The sequence below is a fragment of the Homo sapiens genome, chromosome 5 (assembly GCF_000001405.40).
Source record: "Homo sapiens chromosome 5, GRCh38.p14 Primary Assembly".
In the NCBI taxonomy this organism is placed as follows: Eukaryota; Metazoa; Chordata; class Mammalia; order Primates; family Hominidae; genus Homo; species Homo sapiens.
In genome coordinates this window covers 45,367,222-45,393,128 of record NC_000005.10, presented here as the reverse complement: position 1 = coordinate 45,393,128, position 25,907 = coordinate 45,367,222, and the positions used below count along the sequence as shown (strand labels likewise).

Below are 25,907 nucleotides of genomic sequence, written 5' to 3'. Positions count from 1 at the left end.
ATAACTTTAAATATGTGAGGAAGTTATCAATTCCAAATCCCTTTATGGACTGAATAGCATCCTGAAACTGTGAATCAGACTGCATAATTCCAGGGCAGGTGCAAAATGAGCTGTTAAAATGGACTGTGCTTTCTAATGGCAGGGCACAAGATACCAAGCCACCAAGCCAGTTCTATACCTAGATTCAAATATTGATTATGTTATGTAATGTCCAAAGAATGTGCTGAGTCTCAGTTTATCGAGTATATGAAATAAAAACGCTAAACTTCTCCAAAATGACAAATTTATCAAGTTTTGTTAATCTTGGAAAGAGTTTATGTGATGGCTTTTTTTTTTTTTCTTTGAGATGGAGTCTCGCTCTGTTGCCCAGACTGGAGTGCTGTGGCGCGATCTTGGCTCACTGTAATCTGCACCTCCCGAGTTCCAGCAATTTCTGACTAATTTTTGTATTTTTAGTAGAGGCAGGGTTTCACCATGTTGGCCAGGCTGGTCTAGAACTCCCGACCTCAAGTAATCCGCCAACCTTGGTCTCCCAAAGTGCTAGGGTTACAGGCATGAGCCACCGTGCCTGGCCTATATATGATAACTATTAGTGGCCTTTTGGAAAAGAAGGTAAAGTTTAATGTAAGTACTCTCTCAGCTATACAAAGGAGTAATATGTAATCATTATCCACCTATATAAAATGATTCAATTTTATGTAATCATACCAAAAAATAATGTTCTAAACCTATTTAGCTCAGGCAAATGTTTTTGTTTAATTGCTTAGTTTTAATTAATGATCCATAGATCCTTGTTTTTTCTTGTAAATGAAGGCCCATAATCAGAACTGCCACATAAATTTATTCCATAGATACATTTTTAATTTTTTTAAATCAACCTAATATTTCAAATTTGTGTAAGCTAATGGTACACCCAGACACAAAAGGTGAGGGACCAAAACCTGCTCTTATCTTCAAGCTATTCAAATCCCATTTGCAATAGAGTTTATTTCAGCTCATTTAAAATAAAATAATTATGGTTAAGATATATACTTTCTTGGTTATATGCTCTTCAAGAAAAATTTGGATGTAGGAGGAGTGGCGCCAAATCAACTCTTAAGGATCCTTAAATTCTTAAGGATCATTGTTCTCTCAACATACCAAGTGATTCTTACCTTCACTCCACCCCCTTAAATACTTTTACCCCTTTCACTATTTACATAGATTCTGCCTTTTCCTTTGGAAGGCTGTGGGAATGTTTCTTGATCATGCCATTGTATAGTCATTTGTTTACCGTATTTACTCTCTCTGTCCAGAGGGAGTATAAGGACCATTTTCTTATTTTTATTTTGCTTGAACACAGATCACTTTTTAGAAATGAAATATTCAATCTGCTTTCTCTTCTAGAATTCTGAGATTTATTTCCCTGGGAGCAAGAGGCATATTATCAAAGTGCCTCTCATCAGATTTGAAGCCATTTCTTAGTCTTGGGCTAATCATGGGTGTGTTCTGCTTCAGGAGATGATGGAGCCTCCTCTCTCAGAAAGACAGATGGGAGAGTTTGTCATTATTGTCATGTAATTCTAAGTCTTCAATTTTTTAAGCTATATGACTAGAATAATGGCTGAGCAAAGAGGAACAGTTTGGAGTAATGCCCATAATCATTTATGAATAATACCATTATTTAGTTTTAAAAGAAAAAAGTTACATCCTGTTTTATAGCCCATCTTCATTACATCAAGAAGCTTAGTTGAGTTACTAATTTGGTTTGCTGATTTTGTAGCATTCAGTAGCATCTGCCTTCAGAAGAGCAGAGGGACTTTGAAGTTATAATGATCTTGACCTTGAAAAATCATATCGACTGAGTACTTAAATAAAAAATGTTTTGATACCCTAATGTGCATTAGGATTATTCTTAAGGGGAAGAGCTAGCTCTGAGATCCAAGTGCTTTCAATCAAGCATTTCACTTGGTTTCCTTCATAATTCTTAAATGCTTTCCTCTTTCCTTTACAAATAAGAATGCCTTGAGTACAACTCCCACATAGTACCTTAGTCAAAAATTTTTTATTAGGCTACAGCATGTACTTTGCTTCCCGGGAACTGAATTTAACATACCGTGGTATGTTAAATTGGTAGTAGAGCCAAACGTTCTCAGGCGAGGGAGATCCTAGGGCTGGGAACCTCTGTGAGATTCTCTTGCAGGAAAACACCAGTGTGACAATGCTTGGAATAACTTAATGTAGCCATTGGAGTTGCTAGCAAATCAGGCTCCTGGTACAACAATGTTGCTTTATATTCTCATCTGGGGCAAATAATTTTTATATTAACTAAGTGTTGTTATAAAGTCTGGAGTAAGTCTTTATAAGGGAGGGAGTTTGAGACTTAATTTAACTAAATAGAAAAACAGAAACTTACCAATTGTAAATCACATATCCCATGATTTTTCAAACTTTGTATTTTGATATAACCCACTGTGGCATATGGCATCCCTTTTCCCCAGTGATAATTTCTGTGTCAATGCTCTAAGTTATATGCTGGAATGCCCTACATGTATATTGTAGATATTCACATTTTCAGGACTGTGCAAAGTGCTAAAGATTTCTCCATACTAAACCTTAATTTAGTTTTTTGCTGTTTACATTTATTATTTTTTACAGCACATATGTTAGCTTCTTTTTATAGCTCTAAAGTAGAGCTGTATTTTCCATTTAATTAATTGATTATGCATTTGATATTTTAGAACTGTTTGAATTTTTGAGTTTACTCCCCAAAGTTCTCTTTCAAGTATTCTTACTGTATTTGTATTCCTTATATGTCATAAGATAGAAACAAACTGTGAAGCACTTTCACAGGGAAACCTGGTGACCAGGGAGCCACTAATCTGATAAGAACCCACATTGACAAGAATCAACCTGCATGTAACTTGTGTTTGGTTAGCCGCTTTACTGGGATGCACTGGAAATGGACCTTGAAGAATGAAGAGGTAATCAGCAGGCAGGATTAGTCACCATGAGAGAAATGTCTCAGAAAAATGTCCAAATTCTGAGAGAATTTCTGGCAGACAGGAACAAAGTGTGCAAAGGCCCTGAGGTAGAGATGTATGAGACATATTGAATAGTCTAATTTGAATGAAACAATAGCTACCTTGCTGGGGAAAGTGTGAAATAGCCTAGATTATGGCCAAAAATAGTTTTGAATTCTGGAATGATGAGATTGTACATTATTAAAGGGATATCCTTTGAAAAACTTAGCAATGGTAAGTCTGAATTAAAATTGTCTTTTAGAAAAATAAATCACAACAGTGCATGAGATACGACGTATTCCTAACCTAGAATCTAAGATTCCTTGATCAAAATTGTTTCTGATGGAATCATTAATACAAATATGTTAAGCAGGAATTTGAGCCCATTAAGTAGGTAGAGATAACTCTAATAGATAAAACTTTAGGAAACAACATTTTTATAAGTAAGTAGGATCCAAATAGTCTTCAGTTATAAGTTGTCGTGTTATTTGAGCTTCAAATAATCTATTTTGTTCCTGCACTCCATGCATTCCTGCAGAATGCTAACCATGTGTCAGGCCTACTACCAGATGCTAGGCACATAGTGAGCAAGTAGACATGGTACCTCCTCTCATCAAGCTTCTTGTAATATAGTGGGTGGGGTTAGGAGGATATTTCACCTAATAGAATGATTCATAGAAAGCACTACATTATTTTTTTAGGAAATTAATGCTATGAGTGGAAATGTACAGGCGAGATAAGAGATTTTAAGATTTTTTACTTGATTCATATGGAATACTGTAGGGTGAAATGGGGGGAGAGAAGAAGAAATTATATTATATTTGAGAAGAGACCTGAAAGATGAGAAGTAAGACATGAAAGTGAACTTCATGAGAAAAAACTGAGGTATGAAGAAGCTTACCACAGTTCATGAACAGACAGATAGAAAGTGTAGCTAGAACAGAGAGAAAGGTGAAATGACTCTAGATAAGACTGGAGAGGCTGATAGGGATCAGTTTAGGTGACACCTTATAGGCCTAGGCAACCATGCTATCTTGTAGCCTAAATGCCTTGAGAGTCTAGTAGCAATTTGAAATGGAAGAGTGATGAGATTAGATTTGCCATTTTTAAAAAATGTTAATCAACAGTGTGTATAATAGATTAAAGGAAGGCAAAACTGGCCTGGTCTTCTTTGGCGTTACACAGTTTTCCAGTGCAAACTTGCAGAGACCTAGGTGAGATTTCCATTTTAGCGGGTGGACATATTAAACAGGGTGGGAATACTAAATAGCCATTATATATTGAAAAATACTATTAGGACAAATACTAAACTTCTGTAAGACAGAGACTCAACAATTCAATAACTTAAAGAACTATATGATTTCACAAATAAACTTTGTGAAATGAGAGGGGTAAGTGGGATGACACTGCTCCAAATGGCCATTTGTGAATATAGGTTCATCCAAGTTGTTCCTCCACTATCACCTAGGACAATGCTTTCCAAACTTTAGTGTGCCTCATAGTCACCTGAAAAGCTTGTTAAAACACTGATTTGTGGGCCACATTTCCTGAGTTTCTGCTTCATTAAATTTGCAGTGGGGCTTGAGAATTTGTGTTTCCAACAAGATCTCAGATGCTGCTGCTGCTACCGGTCCAGAGACCAGCACCACCCTAGGGTATTGTTCTTGTCTGCATGTTTGAAGCTGTGCAGGAGACATGTTTGTCTTCCAGCTCATGACAAGAGGAAGAGAACACAGCGGGACAGGCATATTACTTCTTCTCATGGTTTATTGATGAGAACTTAATTATTAATATATTTCTACTCAAGGAGGCTGAGAAATTTTTTCTAACTAAGCAGAACTGTGACCACTCAACAACTCTATCCATAGGGAACAAGCAGAGAAGAGATTTAGGTGGGAAAATAGTGGCCTGTGCCACAGATACAAGAACAAAGATGAAGAGCTAGGAAGATGCTTGGAATTTCTTAGGAAGTTCATATATTTTGAATGGGCAGTGGAGTACTTGAAAAACAATAGTAGCTGTAAGGCCTAAAATCGTCTGTATTTGGTTTGGTAGGCAATGGAGAACCACTGAGACTTTGAGTCACCATAGCCCTCCTCTTATCCATATTTTTGTTTTCAGTTTCGGTTACCTGTGGTAAATCATGGTCCAAAAATATCAAATGGAAAGTTGCACGAATAAACATTCACATAGCTTTTATCACAGTATATTGTTATAATTGTTCTATTTTATTATTAGTTATTGTGCGTCTCTTACTGTGCCTAATTTATAAATCATACTTTATCATAGGTATGTATGCATAAGAATAAAACATAGTATATGTATAGGGTTTGGTGCTATCTGCAGTTTTAGGCATCCCTGGGAGTCTTGGAACGTATGTCCCACTAATAAGTGAGGACTACTGTATATGGCCTGGTGCTGTAAGTTGATAGATGACAGAGAATGTGGAGATATACAGGGTAAGAAGTGGCAAAATAATAAAATGTAGGGCGAAATTGCTATCTTCTCTTAAGCCATCTGTTAGAAATGTTGGAATGCATTATCTAGAATGCATCTTATACACCGTGTCTTATTTACCAGGAGTAATGAAGTGCCCCTAAGTAAAACATTAGTTAAATGTATCCTCTTTATTAACAAAGATATCACTGTTATTAAAAAAAATTCAGTATGTAAAATATTTATTTACCAATAGTTTTCCCCTGAATTTTCAATTGTAATCTGATCATTTATTGTGAATCACTAACGTGGATTTTTCTCTGCCATTCTTAAGAAAAGGAAATTTGTATAAAACATAATTATATTATTTGTATCATAAATAGTATGAAACAATAATATGAGAGTAAGATATTATAGTTTACTTTCTGAAGTCAAAATGTTTCTCTCTGAAGAATATATGAAGTAACTCATACATTTTGAACAGAATATATTGATACTGTGAACTTAAAATACAAATTAAAAACTTTTGATATATATATGAGACAACTATAAACCACTTTGGGACAAAATATTTTCAACTTTTTTTCTGACTATACCAGTATTTTACTTAAAGGATCAAAACATATATTCAGATTATAATATAACATAAATGATTATATTCCATATTCATTGCTTAAGCTTTGCCAAGTGAAATTATCTTACAATAGTATATTTGTTTTAAAAGATTTCTTGCTGTCTCCCACTTACTGAAGTTATTACTAGAATTAATGAACTAAAAATTTAAAAGTTACTTTAGCAATTTTGGAAAAGCCTCTATTAAAATATTTAGATTGGCATGTATAATAAAAATGATCGTAAATTTTAGCATGAGAGTGTTATTAAGTGATATTTAGAGAGAATTCAAGATTTCTATTAAAGGATGTAAATAGACTCAAGTTTTTCTTCCAATGAGAATATAAAATACTGAATTTTATTTTAACGTGAGAAGATTTTTAAATTTTATTTCCAAATGATGAGCTGATTAGAGCACTGAACAATTTTTTAGTTATTTACAGAAATAACTTGCATATTTGGAGCTCAGATTGCTAGTAATAATGAGCCCCTGAACTAAGCTCCACCTTTGAACTTTGTAGAAAAGCAACACAGTATAAGTAGATGCAGAGCTGCTAAAAGTAGATGCGCAGAAAGGACAGAAGAGAAAGAGAAAAGGTTGGCTGGGAGCTCTGGCTCATGCCTGTAATCCCTGCACTTTGGGAGTTCAAGGCAGGAGGATTGCTTGAACCAGGGAGTTCACAACTAGCCTGGGCAACAGAGGGAGACCTTGTCTCTAGAAAAAGTGAAAAATAAATTAGATGAACATGATGGCTCGCACCTATACTCCCAGCTACTCAGGAGTCTGAGGTGGGAGGATCACTTGAGCTGGGGAGGTTGAGGCTGCAGTGAGCTCTGATCACACCACTGAACTCCAGCATGGGAGACACAGCAAGGCCCTGTCCAAAAAAAAAAAAAAATCTATAAGCAAGCAAGAAGGAGGAACAGAAAAATGGTAAGTACAATAAGTATAATATTCAGCAACTGAAATGTCCCCACTGCTGTGGCACAATACAATGGAGGACCATGACATATAGCTTTCAATTGATTTAGATAAGACTCTGGTTGAAGGACTCCTGTCCAGCTCCACTAAAATGTGGTCAATTCATAAAATGTATTTTTATTACAATGAGAGCTCCTTCTGTTTTAGTGGTATCTGGCAGGAGGATTGTAGAGCTAAGCTGGTCCTGGAGAATCCAGAGGATTGGGTCCCATGTGCTGTAAGAGGAAATGAGGCTCTGAGTCACACAACGGCTGTGTCCAGCCAAGAATGCGATTATTCCCAAACAGACACATGGCACTCAAGTAGAATGTGGTAATTGTGGAATTTTATTTGCCAATTCACCGAAACTTACATTTTATATTTAATTGCATTCACTATTTAATTCCTCCGATTTTTCACCCAGTTTTTAAAGTATTTAAAGACAAATGGGATTTTTAATAACCACTGAAACATACCTTGCAAATACGGTAAATATTGTTTAAAGTATCAAGAAACTTTACAATAGATTTTCAGAAAATTCACAATAGATTTGATCATATTGAAATATGTTAAAATGTCTTTAAGGGGTGAAAGGTTAAAAGCCTTAATTGCCTTTATTTCCTGACTAGATGACTCATTCTTCCTGGCTTCTTGGCAGTAATATTATAGCTTTCAACTCTTGCAAGCCCCAGGAAGTTATATGAAAACACAAATTTAAGAAATTAAATTTACAAATCAATTTCCTTTTTTTAATTAAAAAAAATCGAATGACTACCTTCTCAACTTTCATAAATTAATAAGTGCTCTTTATGCAGTTACAGTGGTAATCCCTCCTATGAGCAATGTAAAAAATCTAGCAATAAGGGATATTAGGTCCCCATGTTTTATAAAAATAATATAAAATAGTCCCATTCTCAACCCAGTTTTAGATATTAACTGGAAGCTAAATTCACACAACAGCTAAAGAATCAGAATAAAGAAAACAGTCAGTATTCTGAGTGTGCACAGGACTAACTAGTGTTAGCATATATCGACATTTTAAATTGCTAAATTACCATCCAGATAATTAATGCTATGTAGACAATATTGACACAAATATTTTCTTAGTTTAAAAGTTGTCTGTTTAATTTTTTGAAGTCTCCAGTTCTGGAAAAAAGGAAGACTTTTCTATTTATGATCCTCATTATGATTTTAATCTCAATTAATTCACATTGTAGAGATAAGAAAACTGAGATCCAAAGAGATTAAATTAGATTCCACATTTATACCTCTAACTAGCAGAGTCACAAAGATACAAAGCAGCATTCTTATTTCCCAAACAAATGTGCTTTGGAGAAATCCATAGATAAATGATGAACTTAAAATTCTCAGAAGTGCTTTGCAGATCAGCCTTTGCATTTTTCTTCCAACCTCCAAAATTAGTCCATAACATCCAAGGAAGACCTCACTGAGAGCTAGATTTATTATTCTAAGATTTTTTTCCATCCGTAAAAACAAGTTTATTTGAGAAAGATCAAACATTTGATGAACAGTTTAATTAAATTCTTCCCTGTTTGATCACCTGTGTTTAGTAAACAAGAATGTTAAGTGAGCAATATATTGAAATATAAATAAATCTTCACTTAAAAATTTATGTTCTGCAGTGCTGTTTATGTGCTTTTGGCCATATAAACAGTGAAGTTATACTTTAGAAAATTGATTTTCATGAGTTTTATTAATTTAAAATAGTATGAACTTTGAAATAATATGAAATACCATAGATCTCACATTATTCCAAAGATTTTCTGTGACTATATTGGATGTAATATAGACATCATTTAGATATCTGTGGGTGTTTTTAGTATCTTATTACATTCATCTATCACAAGGCTTTTATCTACTTGAAAGGAAATGTACTTGGCATTGTAAGCAGCTTTACTAAACACCAAATACTGCACGGGGATGTAAAGGAAACATGAGTATATACGGTGGCTGTTAAGCTTTGATCATTAGAATTCCCCCAGCAAACTCTTTGATGAGTTATTCTCCCTATTTAGTAGATAGAGAATTTGTGGCAAAAATTAATTATAAAACTTTTTCTAGGATACAGAACATTTTACTGTTTTAGAATATAAATAAATATAATCAATTTCAGGAGTTTTGGTAGCAACTTCTTACCTGTTTCTCAGATGTTGTATAAGGTTGTTTTTGTTTGTTTTGTTTTTTGTGGAGCAGAGGATGTGGAATTACTAACTTGGTATACAAACAAGGCAAGAGAATCTGTGATTCTTTTGTATTTTACTATTAAAATATTGTGGAAAAAACAAACATTTTATATTATCTGGAAATAACCCAAGTTATTTTTGATTAATTAAAGTTAATAGTTTTCATATTTCTTCATGGATTTTTTTTTTTTGAAACAGAATCTGTCTCTGTCACCCTTGCTGGAGTGCAGTGGTGAGCACGATCTCAGCTCACTGCAACCTCTGTCTCCTCAGCTCACCGCAACCTCTGCCTCCTGAGTTCAAGCGATTCTCCTGCCTCAGCCTCCCGAGTAGCAGGACTACAGGCGTGTGCCACCATGCCTGGCTAATTTTTGTAGTTTTAGTAGAGATGGGATTTCAACATGTTGCCAGGCTGGTCTGAAACTCTTGACCTCAGGTGATTCGTCCGCCTCGGCCTCCCAAAATTCTGGGATTACAGGCATGAGCCATCGTGCCCAGCCTCCTCATGGAATTTAAATCTAGGTGTAGATTTTGAAATTATGTACCATGTTTTAAAATTATAATCATTTATTTTCAGAAGCCTTAGTTTAAAAAGTTACACTAATTTAAAAGAGGAGGTGGTAGCAATAAAACATGCAAATTAGTAATCTATAACAAATTACCAGAATTCTGAATACATGCCCATTGCATTTTTTAAAATGTACTTTAATCAATTGGTATAGTAGAAAATGCATAGACGATAGCATCACACTGAAAAATGTTAAATCCCAGCTCTGCATCTTCATAACTGCATGACCACAACAAGTTTTATAGTCTCTTAGAGACTCATTTTCTTCATCTCTAATAGTAGTTAATTATTTTTACTCAATAACACTTTACAAACAAACGTTATGACAAACCTCCTATATAGAGATCATTTTAATCTCAATTAATTCACATTTTAGAGATAAGAAAAACAAGATCCAAAGTTTTCTCTACTGTAGTGTAGTAGTTATATTTTTCCAAATTTTCCTTTCCTAACATTACAATAAAGTCCCCCATTTAATCATAACAATTGCTTAAGTGCATCAGTGAAGAATTGGGTGTATTCATCATTTCGTAATTTCATGATTTCATCATTATTTCATCTGAGATAAAATTCAGAAAGGGAAATGTACTTTCTAAGGCACACCTGTTGATTCTTCTTGTTTGAATAGTTTATCAGATTCATTAATTCATCAGGTGTTATTTAGTGCTAATAATATTTCAGACACCAAAGTATTTCCAAAATTTGAAATACGGATAATACAGATATGACCACTGTCTTCATGTAGAATACAGGTTAAGGAGGAGACAGACCAAAAATCAATTAATAAGTAAGTCAAAAATTTAAAAGAAGCAAATAAGCAGGTATATCTGTGTGTGTATAAACATGATATAATATGGTGTTATGAAGAAAAGGAATGAAGAATTTAGAGAATAATGAGAGTTATCCAGTTAATTCATATATTAATTCATTCAGTCATCAAATCCAGTACCTTCTATTTGTCAGGCTCTTTTCTAGGTACTGAGGGTACCATATTAAACATGACAAGTCTCTGTCTTCATGCAGCTTACAGTGTACACAGGTAGTAAATACTAAAACATACAAGGGCATAAGATGCTTGCAGATGATGATAAGTGCTCTAAACAAGATAAAACAAAGTAATTGGATAGGGAATAACATGTGGAGGGAAGAGAGTTACTCTATTCTCCTAGAAGGGTTAGTTGGAGAAGTCCTTTCTGGTGAAGTGTCACTTATGCTGAGACAAGAATGCAAAAACATCTGAAGGAAGATGTTTTATTATCAGAGAAAAGAGAAAGTACACAGCCGCTGAGATGGGAAGAGGCTAACTTGCTCTAGCAATTCAAAGTCAGTGATGTAGGAACAGAGTCAGTGCGGAGGACAATGGCTGGACAGTAGGATTGAAGCTCAAATAGGAAGACAGGCCAGATCAGGAGGCATCTCCTTGTCTGATTAGTTTACATTTCAATGGGGAGCCATTGGAAAGGTATAAGCAGGGAAATAATATGATTTGTTTTTAGTTTTGAAAAGACCATGTTGGCTGTGGTGTGGGGTGTAGGTCCAGTTAGGACAAGAATGGAAGCAGGGGAATTGGATAAGAGATCCCAGGAAGATGTGATGGTCTGGGCTTGAGAGATGGCTTGGATATAGCAAGGAGTGGGAAGGTCTGGGATTTATGCAGGCAGGAGAAGTGGCAGGACTTGCTGGATTGATGGAATAGATGTGAGAGGATTATAGGCAGGTGATGAATCTGGAAAATGTCTCTTTAGCAAGGTAACATCGGACCTAGCCCTGATGGATGAAATGGAGCTGACCATGTGAGGAGTAAGGGACGAGGGATTGTCATATGGGAAAGAATCATTATGACAAAAATACTAACTTTACATGAATGAGAGCTTTAAGTGAGCTTTTTTACTTTATTTGTTTCAAATTTCTGATGGCCATTGCTTTGTAGTTTGTAATTTATCTATATAGAGAGGATGTAGTAGAAAGTAAAAAATTCACTTGGCCCTGATGTATCCATAATGATAGAAGAGAGAGACCCTAGAATCTACGTTTTGGGAAGAAACTTATCTGAAGTTGTTTTCCTATCTTATATCGTAGGATAGGTTTCTGCTGGTTCAAAGAACTTCTCAGAATGATTTTTACAAAAATATTAAATTATTTTCAAAAGTATCTTATTTTATGAGGCTTATACACCTTAATATACCTTAACAAGCTATGTTCTTCATGATTGCACTTGCTAATCCTATAATTATTATTGAGATTCTTACATAAATTAACTTTAAGAAATTGAACAGGAAATCTAGTTTTGTTGCCTTCAAAAGAGCTTTGCAATATCATAACAACTCTCCTTCAATGGAAAACTCTGTATGATTCAGGGTACCTGAAGATAGATGCTAATTATCACTGTGCTCACAGCACACTAATCTTGACTGTGCCATTTTCTCTGGAAGAGGAAATAACATTTAATATTTTCTAGTTTTACATGAAGGAAGGTAATTAATCTCACTTTGAGCAAGCAACGGGATGTCTTATCTCGTGGTTCCAGAAAGTTTCCCATCTTGTAAATAATAAAACGATTTCCTTATAGTTCTTTGCCACAAAAATAGAATACTACTTTTTCTATAGTGTGTAATGGGAACTACAGGTCTAACAAAGGCACAAAATGTACAAAGAATTCTTATTAGGAGTCTTATTAGGTGTCATGGCCATGAAGTCTTATGTGCTCTAGTTTTTATTTTTTGTCATAAAACATACGTAACATAAAATATATCATTTTTACCATTTTCTTCTGATGAAAAATGTGTCCATTTATTATAAACATATTTAGTAACCCAGAACTCTGCAGTTTTGAACCTGAGTACCTCCATAACCAAATCTCCTATGTAACTTAAATTATTCCAGAATGTTTTCTAGACATATGCTGGATATCCATAGAATATACAGAGACTAATGGTGCTACTGTTTGAATGTTTGTGTCCCTCCAAAATTCATGTTGAAGCTTAATTCCCATTTTGTTGGTATTAAGAGGGAGCCTTTTGGGAAGTGATTAAGTCATGAGCTCTTGTAAATGGCATTAACACCCTTATAAAAGAGGCTTCAGAGAGCTGCCTGGCCTTTTTGCTCTTCAATTATCTGAGGACACAGTAAACAGCAACAAGGCACCATCTTGGAAGCAGAGAACAGACCTCTCCAGGCACTGAATCTGCTGATGTCTTGATTGTGGACTTCCCAGCCTCCAGAACCATGACAAATAAATGCCTGTTCTTTATAAAGTATCCCTTCTAAGATATTTTGTTATATTGAAGCATGAATGGACTAAGACAAATGGATCCTAACTCTTCAAACTTGTTCCTCAAGTTCTCTCTTATTTACTTAATATATATTGAATATATTTACATATCTGTACCGTAAATATGCCTCTCTTTTTTTCTCTTTATTTTGTCATGTAATCATCACCACTATCCATTTCTCGAACTTTTCCATTATCCCAAACAGAAGCTCTTTACCCATTAAAGAGTCACTCCCCATCATTCCTATTGGTTTTTATTATTAATTTTCAGATGTGGTTTTCTTTCTGTATCAAGTAGTATTTTAATAAAAAACAGAATCTAAGATTGTGTTTTATAGCACTATCCAAGCCCCTTGTTATGCATTCCATGAAAATATTTGTTAGTCTAAGCTTTCCTCATAGATCTTATACAGATTTGTGGTAACCACAATGTTTTATTTGTATTCTTAAGCAGAAAAACACAAATAGAAGTTTCATAATACATTCATAAAAATAAGGAAGTATCTTGTGTCTTTGGATGAATTATACAGACATAAATTGATTAATTCATGTTATCATACCAGATTGGACATTACCCAGGCTATTTGTGTTTTATTTCCTTTACATAGTTTCAAACATACACAAACTTTTCACTAAATTTAAGTTTTAATTTCTCAAAAGTAATACTTCTTAGATACCATATTTCTTAGATACAATTCAGAGACCATGAAAAATGAAAATTTTCCTAAATAGTGTTTCACATTAAGAGGAGCGTATCATAGAAAAGAGCTCATTAAAAAGTCAGGAAACAACAGGTGCTAGAGAGGATGTGGAGAAATAGGAACACTTTTACACTGTTGGTGGGACTGTAAACTAGTTCAACCATTGTGGAAGACAGTGTGGCGATTCCTCAAGCATCTAGAACTAGAAATACCATTTGACCGAACCATCCCATTATTGGTTATATACCCAAAGGATTATAAATCATGCTGCTATAAAGACACATGCACACGCATGTTTATTAGGGCACTATTCACAATAGCAAAGACTTGGAACCAACCCAAATGTCCATCAATGATAGACTGGATTAAGAAAATGTGGCACATATACACCATGGAATACTATGCAGCCATAAAAAAGATGAGTTCATGTCCTTTGTAGGGACATGGATAAAGCTGGAAACCATCATTCTCAGCAAACTATAGCAAGGACAAAAAAACAAACACCGCATGTTCTCACTGATAGGTGGGAATTGAACAATGAGAACACTTGGACACAGGAAGGGGAACATCACACACCATGGCCTGTTGTGGGGTGAGGGGCTGGGGGAGGGATAGCATTAGGAGATATACCTAATGTAAATGACGAGTTAATGGGTGCAGCACAGCAACATGGCACATGTATACATATGTGACAAACCTGCACGTTGTGCACATGTACCCTAGAACTTAAAGTATAATTTTTAAAAAAGTGCACATGAAAGAAAAACAACAAACAGTGACCCAACATTGGAAAATTAATCAATGAATGGATAGATAGACAACAATTACTTATCAACCTCCACATGGAGATAGGGGTGCTTAAATTTTCCAGTTAGAGGTAGAGAATATATTCTGATGTTGCCTGGCTCCAGGCAGGTTCTCAAACTCACATGGAACATATACGGTTACTCCAGAATGGAATACTTCTTTCTTGCTGGACACATTTTCTAAATGCCTCTTTATCTAGAGTTATCAAGAAAATTGGCACTCTAGTTTATAATTATTGTAGTTACAAAGGATATAAAAGTTTGACCCAAGAATTAATAAGAACTGAAGAACAACAAAACATGCTGAATGGTAGGGTTGATGAGGGATAATGACAAAGATTACGCATTAGGAAATTGGAACCCTGGTTTTCTTCCTGACATTTGCTAACTAGGTATAAAATATGTGGAAATGAATTTGCCTCTCTGGGTTTCTTTTCCTCATCTGTAAAATTAACATAGTCAGATTAATTATCTCTGTGGTGCCCTCCAGTTCTGAATGTCTCTTTCTATACTAAATATGTATTAATCTCCTTTGGACCACCCAAAAGGCACTTTAAATGTCTTTTGGGTCATCTTTATACACATAATTCATTAATGTATAGTACTGGTTGAGGATACAGGGTAAGGAGATCCCCTTTCTTAATATCATCTGACCTCTTCTATTCTATATAAATAACTTTCAGGGCTTATGCCAGTAATTATTTCTAAGACTAAATACCATCTTTCTATACAGCCCTCTTGGGAGGCTTTCTTCCACTAGCTGTAGGTTTGAGCTACAACCCAATTTGTTATAGTCTTATGTATTTATAGTAACACCCAGTCACATACCTACCTGACTTCTAACTATCTCAAGTAGGTCAGTCACAAAACCGGAAATAATTAAGCTAAAACACTGCTGAGTCTTAGGGAGATAGGTGTCAACATGTAGGTATAAGGAGTGTTTGCATTTCTTGCCTTCTCAAATACATCACTTTTTTTTAACTGGCCTTACCAAAGTCATTAACTTTGCTCTCGGTTAGTTTCAGCAGGCAGTCTGTCAACTAAGGCTATAAAGATTAGGTTGCAAGTGATTGTGTAAAAAACAGCCCCCTAAGTATTTGAAAAGTTATATTAAAAAATAGATCAGACCACAAAGAAAGAAGCAAAAAAGATCATTTTTAATAAACACATTTGTTTTGATTATTAATATTTAACAAATGCACAAAATATTAAATAGTCATGAACAGAAGAATGGGAATTAGGTCTCAAGACAAATGTGAAATTTTATTAAGTATCTTGAAATCTGAGATCTAGTTATTTTTTACATCTGCATTGAATTCCGACTGCCACCATTTTTCTTGATCTATGGTTGTCCATTTTTGTTTGAGCAGTTTTCTGAAGGCTACAACTTCACAAGGCTTACGTTTATTATTGCGATATTTTAATTCTGTGAATTTCAAGGCTTCTATTTTTCTGACACCTGTATCTCTATAACTTCCACCATTTTCTCTAGTTCTGCCTAGTACAGTAGAGCTAAGTCAAACCTTTTCTTATAATTACTTTCTTGTCCAAGATAGCATTCCAAGTTTTCTCAACAAGTCTTCATATGCCCTATTTTTCTCACATGACAAACACCTGGTTGCACTCTTCTTATTCTAGACCAGTGGTTCTCAGACCTGGCTGAACATTAGAATTACCTGAAATCTTCTAAGAAATCATAATGTCAGAAAGTCACAGAAGATTTTAACTGGCTCCCTTACCAATATATGACAGATAATTCACAGAAAAAAAGTGAGCATGTGTTCTATGTATAAAATACATGGTTCAGAATCCCAGTGACACAAGGAAATTGCTGAATGGTATTAAGAATGTTATTTCCTGCCAGTGAACCTCAGGGTCCTCATGAAGATATAAACATAATCACGTCTGCCCTGCATGACTCATGGAATAGTTGGGACTATTAAACATTCTTTGCAAACTTTAAATCACCAGCCAAATGTTATCATGCTTGTTATCATCATCCTTTAAATTTTAGAAGATTGTTTTGTTTTGGTTTAGCTTATGCAACATTTATATCTTGCAGTTCTGGAGGCTGACAAGTCCAAGATCAAGACACTAGCCAATCTGGTGTCTGATGAGGGCAACTTCCTGGTCGTTAAAGGCCATCTTCTAGTAGCATCCACACATTGCCAAGAGAATCAGCTCTAGTCATTTTCTCTCTCTCTCTCTCTCTCTCTCTATATATATATAATATATGTTATATATGTAATATAACATATTTTATATATAATACAATATATATCTATATATTCTATATAGAATATATATTCTATATTCTATATAGAATATATAGAATATATATTATATATAATGTATTATATATAAAATATGTTATATATATTATATGTAATATATTATATATTATAAAATATTATATTATATATAATATATTATATTTTATATAACATATTATATATTATAAAACATTATATTATATATAATATAATATATATTATAACATATTATATTGTATATAATATATATTATAAAATATTATATTATAGATTGTATATGATAAAATATTATAAAATATTATATCATATATAATATATGTGATAAAATATTTTATCATATATAATATATGTGATAAAATATTATATCATATATAATATATAAGATAAAATATTATATCATATATAATATATAAGATAAAATATATATAAGATATATCATAAAATATTATATTATATATAAGATATATCATAAAATATTATATTATATATAAGATATATCATAAAATATTATATTATATATAAGATATATCATAAAATATGATATTATATATAAGATATATCATAAAATATGATATTATATATAATATGTATCATAAAATATGATCTTATATATAATATGTATCATAAAATATGATCTTATATATAATATGTATCATAAAATATGATCTTATATATAATATGTATCATAAAATATGATCTTATATATAATATGTATCATAAAATATGATCTTATATATAATATGTATCATAAAATATGATCTTATATATAATATGTATCATAAAATATGATCTTATATATAATATGTATCATAAAATATGATCTTATATATCATATGTATCATAAAATATGATCTTATATATAATATGTATCATAAAATATGATCTTATATATAATATGTATCATAAAATATTATATTATATATATTGTATATCATAAAATATTATATTATATATATTGTATATCATAAAATATTATATTATATATATTGTATATCATGAAATATATTATGTATAATATATTATATATTATAAAATATTATATTATGTATAATATATTATATATTATAAAATATTATATTATATATTATAAAATATTATATTATATATAATACATTATATATTATAAAATATATTATATATAATACATTATATATTATAAAATATATTATATATAATATATTATATATTATAAAATATTATATTATATATAATTATATATAATATATTATATATATATATAAAATTCCATTCCTTTGAGTATATACTGAATAATAGGATTCCAGAGTCAAATGGTGATCCTGTTTTAAGTTCTTAGAGAAATCCCACACTGCTGTCGACAAACTATAGTATAGTTCAACTTTCCATGAACTATAGTATAGTTCTCTCTCTCTCTCTCTGTCTCTCTCTATATATATACCCATGAACCAAAAATAAGTTTTACAAAATCACTTGAAGAAAAAGATATCTATCTATCTACATATATATGGTTTTATATATATATATATACACACATATATATATATATTCATAGTATTTTGCAAGTATTTTGTTGAGGAGTTTTGTATCTGTGTTCATCAAGCATATTTACCTGAAGTTTTCTTTTTTTGTTGTCTCTGCCGGGTTTTGGTATCAGGATGATGCTGGCCTCATAGAATGAGTTAGGAAGGAGTCCCTCCCCAAGTTTTTGGAATAGTTTAAGTAGAAATGCTACCAGCACTTCTTTATAAATGTGGTAGAGTTCAGCTGTGAATCCATCTGGTCCTGGGCTTTTTGTGGTTGGCAGGATTTTATTACTGATTGAATTTTGAAACTCATTATTGGTCTGTATAAGGATTACATTTCTTCTTGATTCAGTCTTGGGAGGTTGTATGTGTTCAGGAATTTACCCATTTCTTCATCGTGGTAGTCTCTGAGGGATATATATATCTCTCTGAGGGATATGTATATTATATATATATAATGTATATAATGTATATAATGTATATAATGTATACAATATATATAATGTATATAATGTATATAATATATATGTTATGTATATAATGTACATAATATATATGTTATGTATATAATGTACATAATATATATGTTATGTATATAATGTATATAATATATAATATATATTATGTATATAATGTATATTATATATAATATGTATATAATATATATTATATATATTATGTATATAATATATATTATATACATATATGTAATAGATATTATATATATTATATATATAATATATATAATATATATTATGTATATAATATATATAATATATATTATGTATATAATATATATTATATATATTATGTATCTACTGTATGTAATATATTATATATGATGTATATACCGTATGTAATATATATGATGTATATACCGTATGTAATATATTATAGATGACATATATACCGTATGTAATATATTATAGATGACGTATATACCGTATGTAATATATTATAGATGACGTATATACCGTATGTAATATATTATAGATGACGTATATACCGTATGTAATATATTATAGATGACGTATATACCGTATGTAATATATTATAGATGACGTATATACCGTAATATATTATAGATGACGTATATACCGTATGTAATATATTATAGATGACGTATATACCGTATGTAATATATTATAGATGACGTATATACCGTATGTAATATATTATAGATGACGTATATACCGTATGTAATATATTATAGATGACGTATATAATGTATGTAATATATATTATAGATGACCTATATAATGTATGTAATATATATTATAGATGATGTATATAATGTATATATTGTATATGATAGATGATGTATATAATGTATATAATATAAATTATAGATGATGTATATCTGAGGGATATATATTATAATATATTTTATATAATATATATTTACATATATTATATAAAATATATATTATATTTATAAATATATATTTTATATATTAAATATATGAAATATATATTTTATATATAGTATATAAAATATATATAATATATAATATAAAATATATATAATATATAATATAAAATATATATTATATATAATGTAAAATATATATTATATATAACATATATAAAATATATAAAATACATATATTTCATATATTTTATAAAGTACATATATTTTTATATATATTATATACTATATATTTTATATATATGATATACTATATGTATTTTATATATATTATATTTTTATATATTATATACTACATATATTTTATATATATTATATTTTATATATTTAATATATGTAAAATATATATATTTTATATAATTTTATTTTTATATATTATTTTTTATTTATTTTATATCTTTTATGTATAAAATACTTATATATTTTTATGTATAAAATACGTGTATATTTTTATGTATAGAATACGTACATATTTTTGTGTATAGAATACGTACATATTTTTGTGTATAGAATACGAACATATTTTTCTGTATAGAATACGTACATATATTTGTGTATAGAATACGTAAATATTTTTGTGTATAGAATACGTATATATTTTTGTGTATAGAATACGTATATATTTTTATATAAATACGTATATATTTTTATATATAAATACGTATATATTTTTATATATAAATATTTTATATTTTTATATATAAATGTTTTATATATTTTTATATAAAATGTTTTATATATTTTTATATAAAATGTTTTATATATTTTTATATGTAAATGTTTTATATATTTTTATATGTAAATGTTTTATATATTTTTATATGTAAATGTTTTATATATTTTTATATGTAAATGTTTTATATATTTTTATATGTAAATGTTTTATATATTTTTATATGTAAATGTTTTATATATTTTTATATATAAGTATATATTATTTTACATATTTATATAATTATATTTTATATAATTTACATATTTATATAATATATATGTTTTATATATAATATGTAAAATATATATGATATATATTATATAACATATATATTTCACATATTATATATTATATATGAAATATATATTATATATATAAATATATATATAAATATATATTATATATAAAATATAATATATATTATATATATTATATTATATAATATGTATTATATTAATTGTATTATATTATAATATAATTATATATAATAACATATTATATAATATATTATTATATTATATATATAATATATAATTATATTATATATAAAATATATATATAATTATATTATATATAATATATAATATAATTATATTATATATATAATATATATATAATTATATTATATATATTATATGATATATACTATATATATTACATTATATATAATATACATAATATAATATATAATTATATTATATTATATATTATATATAATATAATGTATATTATATATTTTTTATAATATAATGTATATTATATTTATTTCATATATAATATTACTAATGTATATTATATATATTTTATATATAATATAAATAGTAGAAAACAGCACATATACACCTTGTGTGTGTATGTGTGTGTGTACATATATATATATATTTTTTTTTTTGAGATGGAGTCTCTCACTGTCACCCAGGCTGGAGTGAAATGGTGCTATCTTGGCTCACTGCAACCTTCGCCTCCCGGGTTCAAGTGATTCTCCTGCCTCAGCCTCACGAGTAGCTGGGATTACAGGCGACCGCCCCCAAGCCCAGCCAATTTTTATGTTTTTAATAGAGACAGGGTTTCACTGTGTTGTCCAGGATGGTCTCAAACTCCTGACCTCGTGATCTGTCCACCTCGGCTTCCCAAAGTGCTGGGATTACAGGCATGAGTCACCGTGCCCAGCCAGGATTTTGTATTTCAGTGGGTTCAGTGGTAATATCCCCTTTGTCATTGTTGAATTTTTATTTGGATCTTCTCTTTATTTCTTTATTAGTCTAGCTGGTGGTCTATCGACTTATGTTATTAATTTTTTCAAGGAACCAACTCCAGGATTCATTGACCTTGTGTACAGTTTTTACTATTTCAGTTTTCTTCAGTTCAGCTTTGATTTTGGTTATTTCCTGTCTGCTAGCTTTGGGGTTGATTTGCTCTTGTTTCTCTAATTCCTCTAGTTGTGATTTTAGGTTATTAATTTGAGATATTTCTAACTTTTCAATGTGGGCATTTGGTGTTATAAACTTCCCTCTTATCGCTGCCTTAGCTGAGTCCCAGAGATTCTGGTATGTTGTATCTTAAGACTGCTTTTCAAAATTCTCATTGTCCACAGTTTACCCAATATATGTCCCAACGTCTGTAATGTTTTCTTCCTTCTCTAGCTTTGATATATTTTTCTCCTCTCCTTTGCTTATCCTAGCAAATAAAATCACCAAACTCCTCGAAATATACATATTTATGGAGAATCAGTAAAAAGAATTTTTAAAATTTACATTTTTAAATGTTCCATTTAGCTCCATCATCACTATACTGCCATTACTTCTTTTAGAGTGTGTGCACATAAAAAATATTTATCTTTAACATTTTTTTGCATTTTGTGTCAGTGAAGAGTAAGAATACCATTCTACAATCAGGGGAAAATGTTTCTAGTTATTGCTGGCGCATGACAATAGCTAGCTCTGTGGCCTTATGGCATTATAGTTTGGAAAAGAATAAATAAGCACACACATATATGATAAATTATATTTATCTCTTGGGAGAATTGTTTATAATTATATAAAAACTTTGAACATCAATAAAAATATGTAGTTTCTATTATTTACACATTTAGTTTATATTTTTTAATTTATAAAGGTAGCAATGAGGAAGGTTCTCTTCTTCAAAACTCTGATGTTGAAGTTCAGAAGGCTGTGAAACAAGGTGTATATGTGCTGTTTTCTACTATGACCTATAACAGTATGTTGAATATATGCCCAATGTTTCTGACCCACTAAAATATCTACTTTAATATAGAAAAAAAATTAATGTAATGGGACATTATTTTTAAGGCAGGAAAATAGGGAGTACCTATAAATCAAGTTTTTCAGTTAACATCTTTATATATTCAGGTTTTTTTAACTTGTTTTAATTTGATAATATTGGATAAATATGTCCGTTTTTAATCAAATTTGGTAATTGTAGTTTTATATAAAGTTATGTCTATTTGAAGAACAAAAACAACCTTGTATTCTTCACATTGCAGTAGTTTAACATACTCCATTAACAGTGAAAACATATATATGCTATTATATTTTCAAAGAAAATATGAATCTCATACCATTATAATTTTTCCCAAGAAAAAATTAACTGAGAGGTTTTTTTTTTATTTCAACCCCAGTGGAAGTACAATTCCAGTCATACATCAGGTCTTATAGCACAGTATATTTTGTTCCTGCTATTTTTGTTATTGTTATTTACAAACTTGAAAACTTGATTTAAGAAAATACAGAGCTAACATTATTTATTCCTAGAGGTTCTCTTATCTCTTAGGTATCTTATTTTAGCTTGCGCTATAATTACATTTCTTTATGCTCATGATCCGGAATAATCAATTAAGTCAATAATGTTCACACTCCTTTACCAAGTAAAACTACAATGCAGTGATATTTAGATACATGCACTGGAGTGTTTTGGGGTATATACTAATGTCACTTGTCAAATGTTCAATTTTTACAGGATTTTCTATAATCTGTATTATTCTAATATTATAGTTTTAAATTTCTTACCACTGAAGAATATTGATGATGCAGGCAGATGCGAATATATCTATTTCTTGACTTCTCTGTTACTCTTGTGCTCCCCACTCTCCTTCCAGGCTTGAGAGTACCAATCAGGCTGGGGCTGAGTGAGCAAGGACAGTAATAGGATAGGCCATGAAAGGCTGTGTTTCATAGGCCCATACAGGTTATTGAAATATTTTGGCTTTCCATCTAAGATTGGAATACTTGGAAAGTTTAAACAAAGTTATGCCATGGGCAGATTTACATTTTAGAAGGATAATATGAGATACTGAGTTAAGAATGAATTATGAGCAGTCAAAAGGGGAAACAAGCCAATTAGAAGGCTATCACAATCATACACATACAAATTCATGGTAAACTGGGCTGTTTGTAGCAATAGAAGTGAACAGGTAAATACATTATAAAAGTAGATCCAGGAATATTATTCAGAAATAAAGAAAAAATATCTACGGATATATGCAACAACATGAATATATCTTGGAAACATTGTCCTCAGTGAAAAAAAAAAGCCACATGAAAAAGAATAAATGTTATTCCATTTATGTAAAAATCTAGAACAGGGAAAATAAGAGTGACAACAAAACAGATCAGTGATTTCCTGGGACCAGGGGAGGGAATATGACCTAGCTATGAAGGTGAATGAGGGAACTTTTGGAACGGATGGAAACATTCTAAAACCTCCACATGATGATGATTTCTCACGAAAATGTTCACTTAATTTATGGATGTTATTTTATATAAATTATACTTCAATGAAACTGTAATGGAAAAAATAGTACATCTAATAAAATTTGCTGACAGAAGCGGTGTATGAGAGAAAAAAATATGGCAAAACAAAAACTTTACACTTTTGGCCCCAGCTCCCGGTAGAAACTCATCTGATATGCAGAACACTAGTAAGATGAGGTTTTGATGAAGGATTTCAGCTTTGGATGCGTTAAATGTTAAATCTTCAGTACACACCCAAGTGGAGATGCCAATTAGGCCATTTAGTATATGAATCTTGATTTAATGGAGTAGTCTAGCCTAGAAATACATATTTAGGTCTTACCAGTATATATAGAGTCTAAAGCCATAAAACTGGGAGAGAACAACATTCTCTATCAATTAATGTTGATATAGAAGAGAAATAGTGCACTAGAATAATTTCCAAATCAAATTATTCCATTATTTATCATTTCTATTTAAATGTATATAACTCATCCTTAGCCCACCATCTTAACTTTAGGAAAAATAATTATGTTTTTGCTATAATTTTCTCATTGCCTAGTTAAACACCTGACTAAGAAAATGTTCATTAGCAGTGACTATGGATTAAATGTGTCTCCTTAAGATCATTCAGCATGGCGAAAATAGAAGAAAAGATCAAATTAGTGTCATTATCTTGCAGCCTCAGCTGATTTTGAGAAATTGTTTATAATGTGAGAACACAAAACGTGTATTAATTGAAACAGAATCTACTCTTCTTCTATTAGAATAAATTAACAAAAAATCTTATTGATTGTTAGGAATAGTGTAAGCTCCTGGTTCCTTTATGGTTTGAGTGGAACACAACTGGAAACTCCTTTGTTTTGCTCTCTTCTCACCTCATCTACAGTCAAGATCCAGTAACCTATTGGTCCATTTCTTGCATTTCACTTCTTTACTTTGCATAACCCATAACAGCCAATTCACTTCCTGCCTGATAACACATTTATCTTGACTCACCCTCATTTTATCTGAAACCACTGGCTTTGTATTAGGTCCCTAAATTTTTAGTAAGCAGCTGCTCTCAATTATTGCTGTGAAGTTTACCTGGAAACTTTGTTTTGTTTTGTATTGATGAATGGTTCTAATTTTAATAAGGTAGTTTTGACTTTATTGTAGTTAGATTGGAAGTTCTTTGTCTTCTCTCACTACTTCAGGAAACTTATTTGGAAGTTACGATGGTGACCTGGTTCTGAAAAGCCAGTCAAATTTTAGATTTAGATCAACCAGTGACCATTAGTTTCATACTAGCCAAGTTGAGAAAGTTTGGATCAATTTTCTTTTATAAACTCCATTAATGATTTTCTGAAATTGTCCTCTTACCACTGGTAACATCATGCATCATGGTTATGCTACTTTCCTGAGTTGCTATCAAATTCAAAGCAGTGTCAACAGGTAACTAAAAACTCACTGCCAATTCAAAGTATTGTTCAATTTATGTTACATATATAGTCTTACATTCAGAAATTCATATTTCTGTATGTTGACATGTATGTGTACAAAATACATACATATATGTGTGTAATTCTTTTGAAATCAATCATTGATATTCACCAATATGGATCTTTTGTATACAATATGACATGTATGTATACAAAATACATACATATATGTGTGTAATTCTTTTGAAATCAATCAT

At 30.8% G+C, this 25,907-nt stretch overlaps 1 protein-coding gene across 1 annotated transcript in view, besides 1 other annotated feature; it reads left to right on the top strand.

The window, feature by feature from the left end:
* The window catches only part of HCN1 (hyperpolarization activated cyclic nucleotide gated potassium channel 1), a 441,433-nt gene that overhangs the window by 303,252 nt on the left and 112,274 nt on the right, over window positions 1–25,907 (top strand). The window lies entirely within an intron of this gene.
* Window positions 6,697–7,896: an enhancer, noted in NCBI's record as "MED14-independent group 3 enhancer chr5:45385335-45386534 (GRCh37/hg19 assembly coordinates)". NCBI's record gives its function as "activates an origin of replication core promoter dependent on BRD2, BRD4, P300/CBP and CDK7 cofactors, and independent of MED14, by STARR-seq in HCT116 cells {active_cell/tissue: HCT116}" and the evidence as "EXISTENCE:reporter gene assay evidence [ECO:0000049][PMID:35650434]".